Below are 19011 nucleotides of genomic sequence, written 5' to 3' on the forward strand. Positions count from 1 at the left end.
GACCAGACTGTCCACTGTAGGCTGTTTTATAGGGGGCTCCCTTCCCTTCGAATAGCGGCCAGAGGTCAGCAGCTGTTGATTCCTTTATGGCCAGGTTCAAACATTAACTCCTGAGAGCAATGGTCAATGATAAAGAACAGGATGGGCACAGCAAAGGTTTGCTGTAATTCAGCAAACATTAATGAATATCAGTCAAGCAGGAAGCCTTATGGCCCTGCAGCCTTTAAGTGACTCTCCGCACCCCACGAAATGTGTGTATATGCAGGTATGTGTATATGTGCACACACATGTGTATGTATATAGATGTGTGCGTATGTGTTTGTACATCGGTGTTTATATATACATATATGTATTTTGTACATAAAGATGTATGAATGTGCATATATGTAATGCATATATACACATTATATGCATGTGTTTATATATGTCTGTACACATATACACACAAGTGTGTGGGTGCATGTGTACACACACAGAAAAATACCAGAGAATTCCTTTGAACTCAAAACCTCACCTTATTTACATAACCTTATGATCTCTTCTCACCCCCATTATTACACAAACTTATTTTTTAGAGTTGTTATCAGCCGCTAGTGTTATTTTGTATTCTGGGAATTCCTCCTTGATGATTATAGGCTCCTCCACAGGCCTTTTTGAGGTGTTAAAGCAGTCCATGCTAAATGGCAGGTGTAAAACATTGAGACGCATTTTATTAGGCAGAGACAAGGCAGGAGAAAGTGGCACCTGCTGACTTGCTCCAGCCCCACTGAGAAGACAGGACAAGGGATCTGGGGTTATGTGTAGGAAACTGGTCTTGTAGGGTTATGTGTAGGAAACTGGTCTTGTAGGGTTATGTGTACAGCACTGGCCTTGGGGAGATGGCCCAGCAGGGCTTCCAGTGGCCTTGGGATGTGCCAGTTTGTTGTGAAGCACAGAGAGGCGTGGTGCCCAATGGGTGCACGTCCCAGTTCCTGCCTCTGAGGCAGCTCCTTACAAGCACCCCCTCACCCCTAGATTCTCTCCCTTCTTTGTCTGGACTTTGGCGTCAACCTTTTCACCTGCAGCCTCCAGCCTTCATCCTCTGGGCCTCCTCTACTCTGTGGTTAGACAGATCATCCTGAAGCATAGGCTGAGTCGGGCCACTGCTCCAGGCATGAGCCTCAGTGGTTCCCATCACTTCAGAGGCCACAGGTCCTGGATGGCCTAGTGTCACGTGACGGGTCATGATGGCCACCCCCAATAACACTTCCATGTCCCTATCATGAGTTCTAATTTTTGGCTTGGAAAATGACTCCCATTGCCTAAACTTCTAGCAGGGCTGCCAGCCCTCAAAAGGCAACTCCAGTCTACCTTTCCATCCTTTTTCCTTCCTTCTCCTCAAGCCACAGTTCCAGCCACAGGGCCAAGTGGACACATCGGGGGCGTCCATGCCACTCTCTCTGCCCTCCGTGGTCTCCAGCATTTGGACATGTTGATCCAGCAAAGCACTTCAGAAGTTCTCTCCTCCACCCACAGTCCCAGTGCCAGGGTCCTTCTACAGCATCCCTGACAGGTGGTGTTAAGGTGTACCCTGCCACAGGGAGGTCCTCACCTTTGGAGCAGTGTGGGCAGAGAACACTCACTAATGGAGTGTCCTGCCATGCAGATTCTGGCACCAGCAGACCTTTCCCTCCAGCACAGAGGGGTGCTCTGGCCCTCCCTGCTTGGCCCTCCTCTGACAGTGTCTAGGACACAAGGTGCCTCCCAGGCCATGAATTGGGGCTGTCCCTGCAGCAAGCGAAGTGGGCCTGCATGCTGAGAACTTATGGCTTTTTATAATCACCACGACTACCTGAACAGCGGGCAGGAAGGGGCGAGGTGGCTCAAAGAAGTATGGGCACACCCACAGTCCTTCTCTCATCTTGCTCTGAGCTTTGATTATACATCTTTTAACATGTCTATTGTACTAAAGGGGTCCATATTAGACCCTGGTCTCCAGATGGGATGCTGATTTTTCATTTTTGTATATGTAAGGAAGTAAAAAATCCATTGTCTTAAGAACTGGCATGAGAATTCCTAGTGTGTGTGTGTGTGTGTGTGTGTGTGTGTGTGTGTGTGTGTAAATGACTGGATTAGCTGCCTGGGAGACAGAGTGTGTGAGACCCCAGACCTCAGACCCGTGTGTCAGCGAGAGCCAAGCTGGTGAAGAGAAGGGCAGCTCCCTCATGCAGGAGACCAGGAGAGGCTGGGTGTGTCTTCCTGTCCCTCCCCCAGACTGCAGAAAGGAGAGAGAGGAATGTGGCAGGCAGGCAGGAGAGAGGCCACCAAGAGGGCATGGGGTGATGGGTCACTGAGATACCCCCAGTGACCGCAAGGCAAGAAGAGCTCCAGGATGGCATTGGCTTTGAAGCTGCTCATTTGCTGCAGTGAATCCCCATCCATCTTTCTTTAATTTCCACCCCAACTATTTCAAAAGCTTCAGTAAAATATAGTGCCTGAATCAATATGTGAGCAAGTGGAAAATGATGCAAGGCTGAGCTTTATTTCTGGATGGATGTGATGAGGCTGAGATGGCACATGCAGAAGCAGTACCAGGAAGTGGAGTGTCTGTGGGGATGCATTCCCTACAGGGTTCCCCAGGTCCCTAGACATCCTAGGAAGGGCTTTGGAGGAATTCAAGGTCATTTTATTTAGATCCCATCTGGGTTACATGTGACACCTAAAGCCTGCACCAATAGCTGGCATATGTCTGTCTAATGACCATGTGAAGGTTCAGCCCAGGGCTAAATTCAGCTCTATACCTGAGATCCTATTCACTACCTACCTAAAGAGCTCTTCTAGCATTTGTCAAGGAAGGAATACGTAAACACTTGCTTAGATGGGGAGCTTAGGAGTTTTGCAGCCTAAAATCAATGAAATAATCACCGAGGAAAATGACCGTGATAGAGTCATTACCATGCCCAACTCCCATCACACCCATCAGTTGCTTCGTTTGGGAGAATCTGCTCCAAGTGCCCATGTTATCTCATGCCCCCAGCTGCCTGCCTGACATCCCGCTCAGATAAAGGGATGTCTGGCTTATACATTCCACAACTAGGCCCTCTCCCCTTGATCGCAAATGTCAAGTATCATGCCCCACACTGCTGCTTTCTGGGATCTACGGAGGGGAGTGGGAAGGAGCGTCATGAAAGCTTCTCCATAGAGCAAGTCAGCACCAACCCCGGAGGCCTCAGGTGAAGTAGGGACCAGGTGCACCTTTCCTGGTGTCTGAGGAACAGCAGGACCCATGAGCTGTCTCCTTGTGGACCACTCTGCCTCACCCTGCACTTCCTGCCTACCCTGTCCAGGCAACGCCTGCAGACTCAGAACAGCATTGGGAATGCAGCTGACCCAGAGGTTGGTCAAGGGCCTGGCACAACCAGTGAAGCCTTGACAGTTTCCCTGGCAGATGGGCAGCCTGACAAGTAAATTGAGCTGATCAACGCCAGGCCAGGACTCCCCCTCTCCCCCAGGTCTGAGATATGGCCATTCTTAGGCAACCCCCGATGACTTCCCTTTGTCTTTTTTTTTTGTGTGTGTGTGAATCTTGAGGGCACAGAGATCAGTAGCCATTTCAAAAACTAATACTCATGAGTTTTCCATAAAGTTAGGAGAGGGTAATGACATCTTCCACCCACTAGCTGAGCAAACACAAGAAGAGATAAGCTTAATTGCAATGACAAAGTTCAAGTGGCTTTCAAGAAAGAAAAAAAGAGACTCCCACTCTGTGGGCACAGCTTTGGAGTGTCCAAAGATTCTGGCCCTGCTCACTCCACACTAGACATCCCCTCTTCTCACATCCCTACTCAGACGGGCAGCGTGCAGGTGTGGGAAAGGAGGGGAGTCACCTCTTGGTGGCCAGGATATGACAGGTGTTCATTTTAGAACAAGCGCCTTTGACCTCAGTGCCTGCAATGCCAGCCTGCCCATTTCCTGGGTGTTTTGAACATAGGAGGTGGCCCGAGGAGCCCATAATTCTGCTACAGGCAGGGCTGCAGAGGGAAAGGACTTGGGTTTGGGCCCAGCTCTTCTTTATACCTGATGTGGAGCCTTGGTGAGCCTCTACTTGCTTATCTGTTAAATGGTCACAACATTTTTTGCCTTGTGAAATAATTGCGTAAACGAATCACAACCACAATGAGATACTATCACACACCAGTCAGAATGGCTACTATTAAAAGTCAAAAAATAACATGCTGGCAAGGTTGCAGAGAAAAGGAACATTTCAGACTACTGGTGAGAGTGTGAATTAATTCAGCCATTGTGGAAAGCAGTGTGGTGATTCCTCAAAGAACTTAAAACAGAATTACCATTTGACCCAGCAGTCCCACTACTGGGTATATGCCCAAAAGAATATAAATTGTTCTACCATAAGGACGCATGCATGAGTATGTTCATTGCAGCATTATTCACAATAGCAAAGACATGGAATCAACCTAATGCCCACCAACAGTAGACTGAATAAAGAAAGCGTGGTATACATACACCATGGAATATGATGCAGCCATAAAAAAGCATGAGATCATGTCCTTTGCAGCAACGTGGATGGAGCTAGAGGCCATTATCCTAAGCAAACGAACACAGGAACAGAAAATTAAATACTGTGTGTTCTCACTTATAAGTGGGAGCTAAACAATGAGAACACATGGATACTAGTAGGGGAACAACAGACACTGGGGCGTAGTTGAGGGTGAGGGTGAGAGGAGGGAGAGGATCAGAAAAAATACCTATTGGGTCCTATGCTTACTACCTGGGTGATGAAATTATCTGTAAACCAAACCCCTGTTACATGCAGTTTACCTAAATAACAAACCTGCACATGTACCCCTGCATCTAAAATAAAAGTTAAAATTTTTTTAAAAAACTTTAAGTGGTTATTGTAAAAATAAAAAAATTTAAAAAGAATTGTGTAAACTGTCAAGTCCTTCAGAAATGTGACACTCATATGACAGGGGATCGGAGCACTTTGCATTTGCATCTGTCAGATGTCCCAGAGGTATGACCAGCGAGGACCAATTTTTCAATCTCCTGGCTTGGGGACGAGCTTCCTTCCCATCTCTCTGGGCCAGTGGGTAGTGCCTCCATTCCCCGGTTTCCTGAAGGTGCAGCTGTGTCTTGTGCAGTGCTGAGGCTTCATCTCCTGCTCCAGATGGCAAAACCCAAGCTCCTGGCCATCTGAGTAATTTTCAATTCTGGCAACCACCTCAGGTGCCCCAGACTCAGCTCACTGCTTACTGCTCTGACTTTTAATTCCTTCTGTGTTCCTAGCATCTGGGATTTTCCTTTTTTCTTGTGACCTCAGCTGAAAAATTATTATGCTTCAACCTGGACACTCTAGCCATGCTGCGGGAAGAGTTTGCATCAGCTTCATTGGCCATGTCGTTGGTCCTGAAAGTCTTGTGTTTTTACTATGTGCTGTTTTCAATCCTTTTGGTAGAATTTCAGGATGTGCAAACCGCAACAAAAAACTATTTAAGGATATTTCTAAGACTTATTTTATATACACCAATTTTGTTTCTTCAATCATGGTAAGTTCTTTAAAGAATTCCCCTGTAACAGCTGTACAGTATTTGGAATGAGACCTGCTCTAAGGAACCATTCAATATCCTTAGCATTTTTAGAGGCTTCCCTGCTAAAAGAACCCATGGGGAGGAGCAAAAATAAAAATATGCTAAACAAAAATTGTGGGTGGTGGTTTGCACTGTTGAATTATACTACACAGAAAAGTGTATTGAATGAACAATCTTTTCCTTTACATGATAACTTGTTAGGAATGTCCTTGTTGTATGACATGAGGCCTTCCCATGATTTACCTTAGGACTCCCACCAAGCTCTCCTTTACATGGTAGAGGGTAGAGCCCGTGGATGGCGTGGCAGGCAGTGGCAATCATGTGTCAGCTGATGTAATCAAGACAGAACCCAAAACTTACCTGCAAGCCTGGTTCATTAGGTTCCTATTTTGGCTGTAAGAGCTAATACTGTTTATTTGTCCCATGTCCCTTGTCCCTGAGGGTTGAATGTCCAGTTGGTGGTTTAATGTCAGCCTGACACTTTAAAGAGAAATATCTCCCAAGCAATCCTGGACCAATTTATCACCCCAGTCCTGCAACCCTGCAACCTCTCTGCTTTAAAGCCATGGGTAATCAACCCTTCAGAGCCACGGCAGCACTGCCCTGGCCTCCTTCAAAACTCAGAGCTTTGGTTCCTCTCCATGAAGCCCTCCTGAGGTCTCTGCCTTCTCTGCACCCCTAGACCAACATCCCCAAAGCAATTTCTATTCTATTCTAATACACTAATAATGATAACAGCTTTCATTAATTTAACACTTGGTGCTTTCTCTGTACTATCTCATTGAATTCTCAAAATAATACTTTAAGACAAGCAATATGTTCCCATTTTTCAGTTGAGAAAACTAAGGTATACAGAGGTCCATAACTGCCTCCATTTGCCCAGATTGGAAGTTGCCAAGTAGAAACACAAATCCAGCCTGCTGGACTCCAAAGCTTGTGTTTTTGACTTTTATTATTTCCATATTATAATTTTTAAAGATATAGCTTGTCTTCTCGCTTAAAAATTCTTCTAGGCTGGAGCTTAGCACTACACTTTTCATGGAGTATATGACTAGAAAATGTTGACAGGACAATAGTCTAGCCACCACTGATTTCTTGAGTCATTCATTGATGGGTTACTGTTGGTTCAGAAATGTCTTTTTATTCCAGAACAAAGAGCCTCACAGTCCATGTGCATGAAGAGAGATCTCAAGAAATTAAAGATCCTGGGGTGGCTGCTGGACTCTTGTGTTTATCAGAGGTTCAGTGTAAAGCATATATACTGAATCCCAATTCTTCAAAGCAAGGATTTACAGTTCTTCCAATACTGTATTTACTGGAATTACCCCATCTGGGTCATGCTGTAATTATGTATCTTGTGTTTCATCATAATCACAAGCATCATCCTATTCCCTCCCCTTGGGTTTCCTTCTTCAACTTCAGATCCTGCTGAAGCCACAAGACATCAGATGACTTATCCACTGCTTAATTATTCACTCATCAAGCATCCTCTGACCTATTATGTGAGATTTGTGCGGGGCTAACATTTTGAATGTATGAAAAACTTGCTATCTAGTAGGAAACATAAAGGGAGTTAAAGCTGCCTTTTGAGTAGGATGAAGTTTGAATAAAACTTCAAAATCTAGATAATATTTGAATTAAGAGCAAGAAGAAATTTTCTGGTCAGGGAAGAAGTCAAGATGCTTTCATGGAGAAAGAGCGAAGCATGCAAAAGCACAAAAATTGCTGCAGAAGCAAGGCCTTGATTCAGGACAGGACAGAGAGGAGCATGGGAGAGTCTGAGTGGGGAGATGGATGTGGGCGCTGGAGAGGGGACCACACTAGCTAGTGAGAGGGAGGTGGACTGGACCATGCTTTCCCAGAGTGGGCATATATCAGCAATTGAGATGGTTTTAGATGGTACGTGGATGAATATTTTTAATATTAATAATTAAGCATTTAGTCCAATATGTGTTAGAAGAATATAGACCAACTTATGATCTCATGGATATTATTGCTTAGAATATGGTCAAGCATTTTTAGGGAATCATTGAGAGAAAAATAGTGCATAAAATAGTACAAGAGCGTTATCAGTCAGAGTCCAATATGGAAGGCAGATATTAACCTAGGCATTTCAAATGAGGGAATTTAATACATGAGATTGGTTACCTGGAGTGGAAAGAGCTGGGAGAGCAGAGGAAGAAGGATTCAAAGCTGCTAATGCCTGGGCTGGAACCCAAGTATCTACAACTGCTTCTACAGTGTCTTCAGTTCTGGATTCAATAAAGTGGCGTCACCTCCACCAGGGTTTGAACCATGAAAAAGGTGCTTCCTCTGCTCGGGCTGCTGGGAGCTAGACCCACTGCATGGCTGCAGCCACAATAGCAACCACTAGAATTTCCAGCAAAGCTGCAGAAGGAAGATTGTCTCTTACTTCTGACTTCTAATTCCCACTGAGCAGGTGATTGGCATATTCTAGTCCTAGCAGAGACACAGCTAGCAAAGAAGTCTGGAAAATACAATGTGTAGACACCATGATCCCCAAATACAGAATAGAGTGATGAAGTGAGGGTTAGGAGCTGAGACATGCAGGTAAACAACTGGCACAAGGACACACAAAGATAAGACAAAAACTAAAATAGTGAATCTGATATGCTAGTGACAAAATTTTGGATTTGCTGCAGTAGGTAATGAAAAGTCAGCAAAAGTTCTCACGCAGAAGAGTGACATGGCCAGATCTGTGATTTTTGAAGATTACTTCCAAGGCAGCAGGAAAGATGGGATGGGGGGAGACCTGGAGGTACAGAAATGGGTTAGGAAACTCTGGCAAAAGTTATGGCAAGAGAGGATGAGGACCTGAATTTGGGAGTAGGCAGGAGGGTATGAATTGGAGGGACATTCTGTAACTGTAACAGAGAGCATTTGGGGGTCCATCATAGGTGGGCATGAGGGAAGAGCAGAAGCTGAAGATACCCCTGGAAGCCCACCTTGGGTGACCATGGGCATGTTAATGGCACCCACTAAGGAGAGCAATGTAGGGAGAAAAGTCATCCTTGCCCCTCCTTTTGCCCCCTTCTCCTAGCTAGAAGCATTTCTCTTCACTCTGAACTGTCCTGCTCTAGATCACTGGGCCTCTTATTTTTTAGACCACTGTATCTTACAACCTCACCTAGGTTATGCCTTCCTTTCCTCTGGACACTAAGGTGCTCGGTGGCAGGGTACAGGGATTCATTTTGTCTCCCCTACTGGTCTTTCCTGGTCCTTGGCACAGACAGGCTCAATACATGTCTGGTGAATTAAGCAATGGCTGTAATATTGGGACAATGGCCATTTGTGTGTTTGCACACTACGCCTCCCCCTCTCCTCCAGTTCCAGTAGATCGTCTGTCCATTGCCACGTGTCCTTAAAGTTCTGAGAGCAAAACCCAACATCTGTGTTGACAGCTCAACAGAAATAGCTAAAGCCAGATGAAAGTTGTTTAGCAGAATTCATTCAGGCTGCTGATCCCTGCACCAGGCTCCCCTTACCCAATGGGATTTCCTGGTTTCTGAAGCTCAGGACAAAATATACACAGTATGGGCTCAGTAAAAATTTATTAAGCTACAGTGAATCAGTCTCTGCTTGAAAATGTAGCATCTTCTCATTTAAACAATTGCTTGAAGGGTCTGTGACCTGGAATAACCAAGAAGTTTGAACTTATTTGGATTCATGAAGAAATAGGTTGGGGGGCAGATAACCAAAATATCTATCACGTTTTTTCACTTGTTTTTTAGAGACGGGGTCTTGCTCTGTTATCCAGGCTGGCTGGTAGCAGTTTTGATTACAGATCAATTACCTAGATTATAGACCATCTGTGATTTGAATGGCTACCGTGTAGCCATTACCAAGGATGAATGAGTTCTGTTGGTAATGACTTGGAAATATTTTCCAAAAATGTACTGTTAAGGTAACAAAAGGTAGTTACAGAAAAATATGTAGAATGATTTTATTTCAGTTAACAACCCAGTAACCAAAATTACGTATGCCATACACCCATACACATCCACAAAGTCCGGAAGGGCACATCCCAGACTGTGAATAGTGGTTACCTCTGAAGAGAGCAGTGGGAAGGGAAGGGGAATATAAAGATACTTTTTACTTGTTTTATTTGATTTTTTCACAATATCTTCACATATTTCTTATATGATTACTTTTTTTTTTAATGAGGCAGTCATTGCTTTGTGAGAAATATTCAGTCCACTCTCTCCCTCTTCCTGAGAAGGATGAGTGCTAGTTCCCAACTGTAGAGATGAGAAAAGCCGCTGCCCAGCCTCCTTCCAGACCTGGACCACAGTCGCTTGTCTCACTAGGACTCAGAGGTGCACTGCTGTAGAGTCACCGCATTCCTCCAGCCGGTCCTTGGCTGTTACAGCCACACACACAGCTAATACTTGCTGAATGCTCACTGCTATTAGGCACACTATATTAATTTTCCCATTTACAGTACATTATAATTCATTTTAGAGATAAGCACTCTGGGGCACAGAGAAGTAAGGGAACTTAGCCAAGTTCTCTCAGGGCAGAAACAGAGGAGCCAGGATTCAAACCCACAGAGTCCAGCTCCAGAGCATGGACCCATCCCTACCAGTCACATTGATGCAAGATGAGAAGTCAGACTCCATCTGATTTCCCAGGTGGATTATGATCCATGGGGATCCACACTCACCAAACTCATAGGAAACTTGTATGGAGACCAGGCCAGATGGATCCATTCATGTCAAAGCTGCTCCGATCTTCTTCTCTTTATTAGTACTAGACCTAGGAGTGATCCCAGTTAGAAGAAACCACTGTAAATCCTTCATCAGGATGCTTCCCATAAATGTGCCAAACATTTGGGACTGCCTCACATAAATGGTACCTCACCAAATGCTCCGTATAGTTTTTGATCTGCCAAGATCTCAGAGTGGAAGATTTCATAACTGAGCTTTCCTGCAGCATGGCCAATAGGCACAGAGGTACCGAAGGCTCCATTCGGTCGGAGGTTGAAGGGAAAATCTTGAGGTGCCCTGAATTATTATCTCTCCCTTTGTGCCTCAAACTCTGGTTGAACTATTAAATTTAAAACATTAGAAAATTTGATTAAGAAGCAAAGTTTTCAGAAAGCACAAAAAGCAAATTTTCTACTGCTTACTTTCAGTCTATTGATCTATTACTAGGAGGATTTCAACTTTTAGGAAATATTAATCATAATATTAAGTCAAGGGTACAATGAGAAAATTGGACAGGGAGGTTTGGGTTTGTAATGACATTTCTTTTTCTATTTTCTTCTGCTTATTACTTGTGTAAGTTTCTTGAGGGCAGGGACTGTTTTTATTTGTATCTCTGGAGCTTGGCAAAGTTGCTGAGATTAGAAGGCACTGAGAATGTGCTTATTGAATGCCTGAGTGCACGGATAAGAATAAAACAAATGTCTCCAGTTTCATCTACAAGTGCTTCTTGGCAGGATCTTTGATTACACATAAAAACAAATGCCTTGCACAGAGTGAAGATGAGAGAATAATTAGAGGTCTACGAGATAGAGCCAAGACTCTATTTAGCAATATTCTTATAAGCATCTCATAGAAACTCTAAAGCCCACTGCCCTAGATGGGAAGTGGCCCCAGGGAAATTGCCTGGGAAGTACAAGATTGCATGATGCAGGCAGAGCTCACAAAATGCACATTGTCCATTGAGAGTGGGAGTGAGACAGATCACCCCATCTGCTGATAGGTGTGTGTATGTGGGACGGGTTAAATCACAGGTTCAACTTTGACCCCAAATTCCTCTTTGACCAAAGCTTTTGACAGTTAGGTTAAATTTCAACTAATATTATTTGACTACACTGCTCCCTTATAACTTATGGGACTGGAAGCTGTCAGCCTTCTTTGGATGTTTTTACTGAAAGTAGCTCTGATGGGAATCGTTTTCCAAAGTCAGTGCAAAGTGAAACCCTAGTGTTTTGGGAAGGGGCAGGATTAGCCATGATAATTAGGATTCAAACCTTTATTTACAGAGATATGTGGGATAAATGGGACCATTCAGGGGTTTCAAACCATTCACTTGACTCCTTTTCCAAATAAGCCAAAGTGAACAAACTCCTGACCCTAGTTTTTGTATATATTTTTGGTTAATATCAATTGAAAGACTGATTCAAGAGACTTCGAATTCCCGAAGACTATAATAAAATGATGAAACCTTATCCTACGTAGCACAGCTCACCAAGACTTACTCATGTCCAACTACCTATTTGGTAGACACAATGTATACACTGACTTCCATTTTACCAGAAAGAAAACTGAGACTCAGAGAGGAAAGTGTCTTGCCTGAGGCCACACAGCCAGGAAACAGCAGAGAAGGCAGGTCTTCTGAGAATAATCCTGAACGGTCTCCACTACGTTGGAGATGCCTCCCTTTCATATCTTTATCCTAAATGCAAGGCAACTACTAACCCAGGAATGTTTCTGCACATATCTATTAATGCAGCAGACACTTTGGTTGCTTCCTAGCATCCAACCCTACCCATCGTCCTTGCTAACAAAACACAATCTTTTTCATATACCAGCAGTGTATGAGGGCTCTAATTTTTCCATGTTTGCCAACTGCTGTTACAACTCCATCTTTAGTATAGCCATTCTAGTGGGTATAAAGTGGTATTGCATTGTAGTTTTAATTTATATTTCTCCCATGACTAATGATCTTGAGCATTTATTGGCCAATTATATATCTCCTTTGGGGAAAAGTCTATTGAAATTCTTTGCCCATTTTAAAGCTAGGTTATTTGTCTTTTAGTTGTTGAGTTGCAAGAGATCGTTATATATTCTAGACACAAGTTCCTTATCAGATATATAATTCGCAAATATTCACTCTCATTTTGTGAGTTGTAATGGTGTCCTTTGAAGCAAAAAAAAAAGCTTTTAATTTGGATTAAATTTAATTCATCATTTTTCTTTTATTATTTGTGCTTTTGATGTTGTATCTAGAAACCATTGCCTAAACCTATAGACCATAAACTTTTAAAGTGTTCATTGATAACAGTCAGGTTGAAATCTATCGTCTTGCTATTTGTTTACTATTTGTCCCATTTAATGTATTCTTTATTTCTTTTCTCTGTCTTCTTTTGGTTTACTAGATATGAAATATTTATTATTTTTGTGATTCCTTTAGGGTTTAAAGTACACATCTTAACTTATCACATGCTATCTTTAAGTGATAATATGTCTTTTCAGATATAGTACAAGAACCTTACAGTTTTCTTTCCTTTCTTTCTTCTTTCTCTTTCTTTCTCTCTTTCTCTTTCTTTCTTTCTTTTTCTTTCTCTCTCTCTCTTTCTTTCTACCTTACAGTAGTTTTCTTCCCCTTCCTCCCTCCTCCCTCTTTTCTTTCTTCCTTCTTTCTTCTTTCTTTCTTTTTCTTTCTTTCTTTCTTTCTTTCTTTCTCTTTTTCTTTCTTTCTTTTTCTTTCTTTCCTTCTTTTTCTTTCCTCTCTTTCTCTCTTTCTTTCTTTCTGAAGGAGTCTTGCTCTGTCACCCAGGCTGGAGATCAGCAGCATGATATTGGCTCACTGCAGCCTCTGCCTCCCTGGTTCAAGTGATTCTCCCACCTCAGCCTCCTGAGTAGCTGGGATTACAGACACCTGCCATCATGCCCAGCTAATTTTTGTATTTTTAGTAGAGACAGGGCTTTACCATGTTGGCCAGGCTGGTCTCAAACTCCCAACCAAAGGTGATCCACCTGCCTTGGCCTCCCAAAGTGCTGGGATTACAGGCGTGAGCCACCGCGTCCAGCCCTTACAGTAGTAGACTTTAATTTCTTCCCGCTAGAATTTTGTGCTACTGTTATCATCCATCTTACCTTTATGTATGTTATAAACTTCAGACTACATTGTTATTATTTAGGTTTAAATGACTATCTTTTAAAGAGATGTAAATAATAATTAAAATTTCATCACATAGTTACCATTTCCTTTGGTATTCATTCATTTTGTGTATCCAGACTTCCATTTGGTATCATTTTCTTTCTTCCTATAAGACTTTAATATTTCTTGTAGTGTGGGTCTGGTGGTTATAAATTCTTTCAGCTTGTTTGTCTGAAACAGTCTTTATTTTGCCTCCATTTGTGAAAGGTAGTTCTACTGATACAGAATTCTGGGTTGACAGAGTTTTTTTTCATTCACTGCTTTAAAGATGTTGCTTCACTCTGTGCTTGTGTTGTTTTCTATGAGAAGTCTTCTATAATTTTTATCTTTATTCTTCTAGGTAACATGCCTTTTCTTTTGGCTGTGTTAAATATTTTTCTCTTTATCATTGATTTTTGAACAATTTGATTATGATGAGCTGTGGTATAGTTTTTTCATGTTTCTTGTGCTTGGGGTTTGTTGAGCTCCTTGGATCTACATGTTAAAGGCTTTGGTTATTATTTCTTCAAATATTTTTCCCATACCTCTTTCTCTCTCCTCTCCTTTGGGGGGTCCAATCAGACTTCTATTAGCCTACTTGAAGTCTTATAGCTCACTGCCTCATAGCTTAGTAGAGAAGGCAGGAAAGCGAGTTGGCTCTTCCAAGTGCAATGTATCATATGCGGAACAAGAGAAATGTCCAAGGGGCTATAGGCACAGAGATAAAGGGCACATGACTTGCCTGAAGGAAAGCTGGTGGGATAAGTCAGAGGAAACTTCACAGAGACAGCTCTGTTTATTTTTAAAATTCTATTTGTCCCTGTGTTTGTCATTTGGTATAGTATTTACTGCTGTGTCCTCAAGTTCACTAATCTTTTCTTTTATAATGTCTAACTTTTTTTTTTTGAGACAGGTCTTGCTCTGTCGCCCAGACTGGAGTGCAGTGGTGCAATCATAGCTCACTGCAGCCTTGAATTCCTGGGCTCCAGTGATCCTCCCACCTCAGCCTCCTGAGTAGCTGAGACTACAAATGTGTGCCACCACACCTGGCTAATTTTTAAATTTTTTTGTAGAGACGGGGTCTTGCGATGTTGTCCAGGCTGGTTTTGAACTCCTGGCCTCAAGCAATTCTCCTGCCTTGGCCTCCCAAAGTGCTGGAATTACAGGCATGAGCTACCATGCTTGGTTGCTAATATTCTTTTAATACCATCCAGTTTATTTTTCATCTCAAACATTCAGACATTGCAGTTTTCATCTCTAAACATTCAATGTGGTTTTGTTTGGTTGGTTTTTAGATATTTTCTATCTTCACTTAACATGGTAAACATATAGAATACAAGAATAGTAACTGCTTCAATATCCTTGTTTTCTATTTTTAGCATATTCATAAATTTTGAAAAGGTACAATTGATTGAATTTTCTACTCTTTATGGCTATTTTTTCCTGTTTCTTTGCATGTTTAGTAGTTTTTTATTGGATGCCATATGTTGTAAATTTTACTGTGTTGAGTAGAGAATAGTTTTGTATCCCATAAATATTCTGGGTCTTTTGCTCTGAGATGCAGTTTAGTTACTTTGAAATACTTTGATCTTTTTAAGTCTTGCTTTTAAGATTTGATAGGCAGGACTGTCTGGCCAGGGCTAATCCTTCACCTAGTACTAAGACAAGACGTTTTAGCATAATGTGTTCAATGCCCATAAATGATGAGATTTTTCATTTGTGCTGGTAGAAACAGGCGCTATTCCTGGCCCTATGTGAGTGCCAGATACTGTTACCCTCTTATCCTTTTGGTTGGTTCTTTCCTTAGCCTTGGATAATTTCCTTGCTGATCTGTTGTCTGGGGACTACTTGAAGATCTGCAGATCTCTGGAGTTCTTACCTGTGCATCTGTCTCCTCTCCAGTACTCTTTTCTGCAAACTCTTGCTGACTTGGTCTTCCTGAACTCTTAGCTCTGTTTCCTCAACTCAAGGAATTAACCACAGTCTGCCTGGGTTTTGCCTAACTGTGCCATAACCTAGAAACTCTCTCAAAGCAATAAGCTGGGGCAATTGTAAGATTCTCATAATTTATTTCCAGGTTCTCAGAGATCAGTTTCCTTCATTGTATGATGACTAGTGTCTTGGAAACTATTTTATGTAGTTTGCTTTTTGGTTGTGCCATGCAGAATGATTAATCTTGGCCAGAAACAGGAGTTAAAATTTTTTTGATAATCATATTATCTTCAAGTAGCGATAATCTTAGCTCTTTCCTTCCAATTCTTCTATATATCATTTCATTTTCTTGCCTTATAGTCTTGGCTAAAACTGCCAGAACTGTGATAACAATAATGGTAATAGTGGATTATCTTGTTTTATTCTAAATTTTAAAGTATTCTTGCATTTTTAACTATGGCGGTTGGTGTAGGTTTTAGCCAATCAATTTCACTTGCTTCCTTATTTTTCATTTGAGTCCAAGGGATCTCCTTAGCGCAAATGTATGCTAAGCATTGTACTTTAGGTGCTGGGTGTAGAAAGAGCCAGGTGATAGAGTCTTTGAGGAAGGGAGCTCAGAGTTTAATAGGGAAGGCAGAAAATCAAGTCAGCTTTTTCAAATGCAGTGTGTTAGATGCTAAACAAGAGATACATCCAGGTTACTATGGGCACAGAGATAAAGGGCATATGACTTGCCTGAAAGAAAGAGAGTGGGAGAAGTCATGGAGGACTTCACAGAAATGGTAATACTTAGGCCTAATATTGAAGGATAAACAGGAGTTCAACAGTCTGACCAAAGGGGAATAGCACTATGGGCAGAAGGAAAAGCATATACCAAGCAGAAACGTGTGAAAGCAAATAGTCAATGTGACTAGAGAAGTGAGTGCTTGAGGAAATAATGGGAATGAAGTCAGGTCTTGATGGTTTTTGGATAATTTTTAACTTTTATTGTGGAGAGTATCTCTTTTCTGAGTTGATCTGTGAATCTTCTCTATTGAAATATAGGGCATATAACCCTGGAAAGTATATTGCCTATTCTCATTGTTTTATGGTTTTTTTTGTGTTAACCAGATGAAGTGATAAAAGAAGTCTAGCAGAATAAGAAGACCTGGGCAGGGCACAGTGAAGAGGGGCATTTTAGCAATCCTGCTTTATACCCCAGTGTTTCCGGTTTTTAAAATTCATAAACCAATAACATTTTCAAAAGAATTTTGGTTGCAAAGATGTTAAAATATAAAACTAATAATTACTATAGATGATCACATCATAATATAAATAACAAAAAAGGCAAGAAAGGCATAATCTGAGCCCGGTTGGCAACCTGATTCTGATTTGCTCTGTAACCCAGTCACGATGTAACAGTTGGGTTTCCAGGTTCAGAATGAAAATATAGAACAGCAGGCTGATAACAAAATTAATATCTTTGGCAGGTAAGTCTTCTTATGTGTGCCTCGCGGTCAAACCAGGTCCTCTCTACTTCTCCACTCCCATGTAGGCGGCCTCCCACTCTAGGATGGGAGGAGTGCAGAACAGAGGTCAGGAGCCCGGTGCCAGCATGTATGTCCCAGTAGGGTGGCTCACACCTTTAGTGACCCTGAGCCTACTTTTCCTATCTAAAAACTTGGCCCTGTGACCATTGACCATTTGGCCATGAGCCACATATCGTAATAGTCTTATTCAGATTGTGAAGCAGCAATCTAATCAACGGCTCTTTTGATTAGACCTGGATAGTATGAAGTCAACACTCAATTCCAGAGGCTTCCAGTGACCCTAGAAAATGGGCAGAGCTGTACCATGGCTCCCCTCTAGGTGAAAGGTCTCGTCAGTCTTGACAAAGTTGACTAAGGACGTTTGAACCTATGACTACACAGATTGCCTCACCTCTTCCCAGTAAGTGTGAACTCTCCCAACCCAGTTTTTCATTTACGTGTCCATGGATGGAATGAGGAATTAGCACCGCAGCCATTATCAAAATCATTACTATAAGAAATTTTGTACTTCTCTAGAAAGGCCATTTGTTCTAGGATCTGAAGGAGAAGGGTAGAGCTCAGGTCACTTCCTCAGGCTGATCCGTTTATCTTTCCTGATAGTCAGTTTCTGATAAATGCAGCCCTTTTGAGATATTTTGCTTTTTTATTGCCCTGGATGTCCTTGGTCACTCAGCACACCCAGGATGCTTAGCTAATATTATCTTGGTGAAGGTGGGGGAGATTGGTGTCCTGTTTGTATCTGCCAAGTTAGTGACCAGCTCTTCATCCCTGCAAAAGGCAGTATGAGGTGCTGGTTCAATGCATATCAGAAGACCACCCACAAGCTGGGATTCTAAACCTGCTGTCTAAAGCAAGTTGTGTCCTCTCCCCAGCCAGCTTGCCCACAGCATCCAAAATCCAGATCATCCATGAATGTCAAAGTTGACAGATCTTTGAGGACATTAATTCTAAGAAATTATAACTAAGAGTCTTTAGGAGCCTAGAGAGCCCAGAAACACCTGAATGTGTAAAATTTCAGATTACATTTTTCTGTTAAGGCTTTCAATAGATTCTCAAACTCAACCTTCCCAAAAGTTCAAGAAGCCTTGACTTAATGCAATCCCTTGTTAACTAATGAGCAAACAGAGAAGTGAAGTAATCTGCACAAGTAACACAGGTAGGAAGGAGTGGAGCTGGAAGAGAACTTGGGGTCTGCTACATTCCACTCTCTACTCCCACTTGGAATCTAGAGCAGAATTCCCCAAAGTGGTCCACTCAGTTCCTATATCAAGTTAAACATTCAGACGTCTAGGTCGATCACAGACCTACTGAGTCAGAGTGTCTCAGGACAGGGCCTAGGTGTTTAGCAAGCTCCCCTGGTGTTTTGGGGACACACTAAAGTTTGGCAATCCAGGACCCTTCCCCAAATTAAAAAACACACAAAAAAGATAAAGTAATGAGATGGCTGTAACCAGTTTCAACTCTTTTAGCTACTTTCTCCACATTTCTAAATGACATGTTTTTATAAGCTTTCTTTCCTCCTCTTCCCCATTTTCCTCCTCATTTTCCTTTTAGCTTAAGATATTATCACCTGATTTATTATCATGGAAATTAAGGATCATGAGACTGATTTGGTTTTCAGGTGCCCACCTGGGCACACCCCTATCATCTCCATTTTCAGGGAATGCTCCAGAATCACAACTGACTTACCCCACTTCACCTGTCACAGCAGGTTCAATCTCTGTTTATCTGGGAAAGCACTGGAGAGCTGCTCTATGACCCATATTCCTAGCTGCCTTCCACAGCTTCCCTGATCCCACAACACACTTAGGAATCATTAACAAACCTCAGTAGGAACATGCAGGTAAGGGAGGGGATCTTTGCATTCTCCTGATTTGCAAGGTCTACCTGCAACCTCTCTGCTACCCTTCTCCTATGCTCCAGTGTTTTCATTCCCCTGCCTGCACACTTTTCACTGTATATCATCTTCCCAATTCATCAGTGTTGATAAAATACTCCATAATTTTTCATTGGTTGTTCTCTCATTTATGTTCACTTTTTTTTAAAAGGGTCCTCTGCTAAGGACTCAGTAG

General features: G+C 42.3%; 1 long non-coding RNA gene across 1 annotated transcript; it reads right to left on the bottom strand.

Moving 5' to 3' along the window:
* Nucleotides 1-9143: 9143 nt before the first annotated feature.
* On the bottom strand, nucleotides 9144-10476 carry LOC101928347 (uncharacterized). Its single transcript, XR_245041.5, has 2 exons — nucleotides 10273-10476; nucleotides 9144-9239 (listed from the first exon to the last, which is right to left on the bottom strand). It is a non-coding gene; the product is annotated as an uncharacterized LOC101928347 (long non-coding RNA).
* Between the last annotated feature and the right edge of the window lie 8535 nt (nucleotides 10477-19011).

Source organism: Homo sapiens, chromosome 2 (assembly GCF_000001405.40).
Source record: "Homo sapiens chromosome 2, GRCh38.p14 Primary Assembly".
Classification (NCBI taxonomy): domain Eukaryota; kingdom Metazoa; phylum Chordata; class Mammalia; order Primates; family Hominidae; genus Homo; species Homo sapiens.